The following is a 2,796-nucleotide window of genomic DNA, read 5'->3' on the forward strand; positions in this document are numbered from 1 at the left end:
CTGCGGTGGCAGTAGGGAAGAAGGAAAGAGGTTGGTCCACGCAGGTGTGGCTCCTCCGAGATGTTTAATAGGTACTCAGGGAATAAGCATGGGAGACAAACTATGGAGGGCTGCGGGTGGTGAGGATGGGGAAGGGAAGGCTGGTCAGGATCACTGGGGACATGAGTGGCCTTCCCCAGCTTTGACACTTTGCTATGGCTGTCCCCTCGGTCTGGGATGCACCCTCCTTCCCTCCTCCTCCCCTTTACCCAGCTCCCTTCTTCTCACAGCACCCCTTCCTGTCACCCCACAAGTGGGCATCCTGCCTTGGGGCTCCCATGACCCCTGGGCACCACCTCATTGTTGCTGCTGTTCCCATCTTCTCTTGTAATTATTTGTCTCTCTGTACCTGCCTCGTACCCAGGCCAGGGGTGGCGGAGGGTGGGCCTGGCACTCCAGTTCTCTCTGGAGATTTTCCTCGCCTGCCTAGCATGGGGCTGAGTGCACTCAGTGGATCCTGGGAGCAGCTGGAAGAAGGAACACACCTTCTTTCTCCACCTGGCTAACTTCTATGCATCCTTCGAGGCCCTGCTCAAATGGCCCTTCCTTCCGAAGCCTTTCCTGCTTCCCCTTTAGAAAGTGGCTTCCACTCCGGGCTCTCTCATAACAAGCCTCAGTCACATCATGGGTCTCTTTGTGTCCGTCTGCCTTTCTCAAGGCTATTGGTGCTCAAGGACAAAACAAGACGGAACAGAAGAGCAGCAGCCATGAATCCTTACACAGCGCTCACCACATGCTGGAAACTGTCCTAAGCACCTTCCGTGGGCTTTTCATTTAATCCTTACGGGACAAGTATAGACCCTATGATTATTTCCTTTCACGGATGGTGAAACCAAGGCTCAGAGAGGTGAAAAGACTTGTCCCAGGTCACACGGCAAGTAAGTAGTGAAGGTAGGATTTGAACCCAGGCTGTCTGGCTCCAGAATCACCCTGTAAGGTGGTGTGAGGTGGTATGTGTCAAGCATTTCTCTCTCAGTGTAAAGGGCCCTGGAATCTTTCTCTTTTCTGCAGTTTCTGTCCTGTCCTGGGCTCCCTGTACCCTGTCCACCTTCTGCACCTTCTCACTGGGAAGCCCATTCCCTACCCACAGTGCTGACCCTCAGAGTCCCTCCCTGCCATTCGCCTTGATGAAGGCACAAGGCCGGCACCTGCTGGCCCCTCCACCGATGCCTCAAGCCCACTGCCTGTCGTTACAGTCCTCAAATGTGTTTTTCTCCTGTTCTCATTAGCGCTGGGCGTCACCACCCACCGGGGCTGCAGCCAGGAGCCCGGACTCATCTCTGACTCTTCCAGTGGCCTGCCGCCCACCACCCATCTGTGCCCATTTCCTGCCGACTGTCCTCCGGGGCCCCTTTCCTGGGCCACCACCTTCGGTCTCACCCTCCACTTCTTACTGAAACACCTGTTACCTTCCTAAGTCCCCGTGTCCGTTAACGAAGCTGGTGACGACATGTTCCTCATGGAGTATCTCGAGGATTAGGCAAATACCGAAAAGCTGTTGCGGCAGGGCCAGGTTTGCAATCCGTAGCTGTAATTAAAGATTAAACGGGTAGCTGTGACTAAAGATTTTCTGAATGAATGAATGAGTGAACGACCCCATGGGTATGCCATTTTCTTTTCCTTATATTCCTCTCAGATTCCCCGTCCCCCACACTCCTTGTCTCTAGGGCACAATTTTTACTATTTTTGAATGATGGCTGCCCTTTGGAAATGCCCTGGGTCTCCTGAGCCAGCCTGCAAGCCTCTCTGGTCTTAGAAAAAGATCCTTCCCGTGACTCCATCTCTCTTCCAGCTACAGCTCCATTCCTTTCCTTTCCTTTCTTCCTAGAAAACCTCTGGGAAAGAATTGCACTCCCGCCACCACCACTAGCCCCATTTCCTCCACCCACTCCCATCAGCCCCTTCCCCTGATGCCTCTGCCCTGGTCAAGCTCATAGGTGGCCCCCATGCTGCCAAATTTCATGGACATTTTAAATGTTAGTTTTTCTCTTCCTCTGACTCTTGGCAGCATTTCAGCACTTTCTGGGATGTCCCTCCTGCATTTCTCCTCATGTCCTCCAATGACCAGCCCCTGGAGAACCCCTTGTAGAGGTTGTTGAAATGTTGGTGAGCCCCTGGCTCAATGTCTGCTTATCTTCTCTTTCTCGGTCTCTGTTTCTCTCCTCACTTCCTTGGGAATCCTGATTCACCCAGTCCTATGACTTGAAAAACCAGCAAGACTTGTGTTGATGATTCCTAGCTTGGGCCTGAGCCCCAGGCATGGATGTCCAGCTGCCCCGTGGCCATCTCCATGTGTCAGTCTGTGGCCACTCAAACGTCACATGCTCCAAATGAGCCCCTGACTTCAATCCTCCAAGCTGGGCCTCTGCCTGGCTGCCCTCACTTCAGGACCTGGCACAGCTACCACTCAAGTCTAAAATAATAGCTGGGCATGGTGGTGGGCACCTGTAATCCCAGCTACTTGGGAGGCTGAAGTGGGAGGATCGCTTGAGGTGGAGAGGCAGAGGTTGCAGTGAGCCAAGATCGTGCCACTGTACTCCAGCCTGGGCGGCAGAGCGAGACCCTGTATCTCACACACATACACACACACACACACACGTCTAAAACAAGGGTCTCTCCAGACATGCCACCCTCTCTCATCCTCAGGGTTGCATCCCCAGCCCTCCTCATGACTCCTTTTCCCCTCTTTTCCTCACTGTTTCAATAACCACACAAATACTGATGATTCCAGGGTCTCTATCTCTTGCCTAACTTTTA

The 2,796-nt window shown here is 53.2% G+C and overlaps 2 annotated features.

Annotated features, from left to right (window-relative positions):
* Positions 800-1,300: an enhancer, noted in NCBI's record as "H3K4me1 hESC enhancer chr20:36054060-36054560 (GRCh37/hg19 assembly coordinates)". NCBI's record gives its function as "activates a minimal SCP1, AML or CMV promoter by ChIP-STARR-seq in primed H9 embryonic stem cells {active_cell/tissue: H9 hESC(primed)}" and the evidence as "EXISTENCE:reporter gene assay evidence [ECO:0000049][PMID:30033119]".
* Positions 1,301-1,801: an enhancer, noted in NCBI's record as "H3K4me1 hESC enhancer chr20:36054561-36055061 (GRCh37/hg19 assembly coordinates)". NCBI's record gives its function as "activates a minimal SCP1, AML or CMV promoter by ChIP-STARR-seq in primed H9 embryonic stem cells {active_cell/tissue: H9 hESC(primed)}" and the evidence as "EXISTENCE:reporter gene assay evidence [ECO:0000049][PMID:30033119]".

The sequence above is a fragment of the Homo sapiens genome, chromosome 20 (assembly GCF_000001405.40).
Source record: "Homo sapiens chromosome 20, GRCh38.p14 Primary Assembly".
NCBI classification, from domain to species: Eukaryota; Metazoa; Chordata; class Mammalia; order Primates; family Hominidae; genus Homo; species Homo sapiens.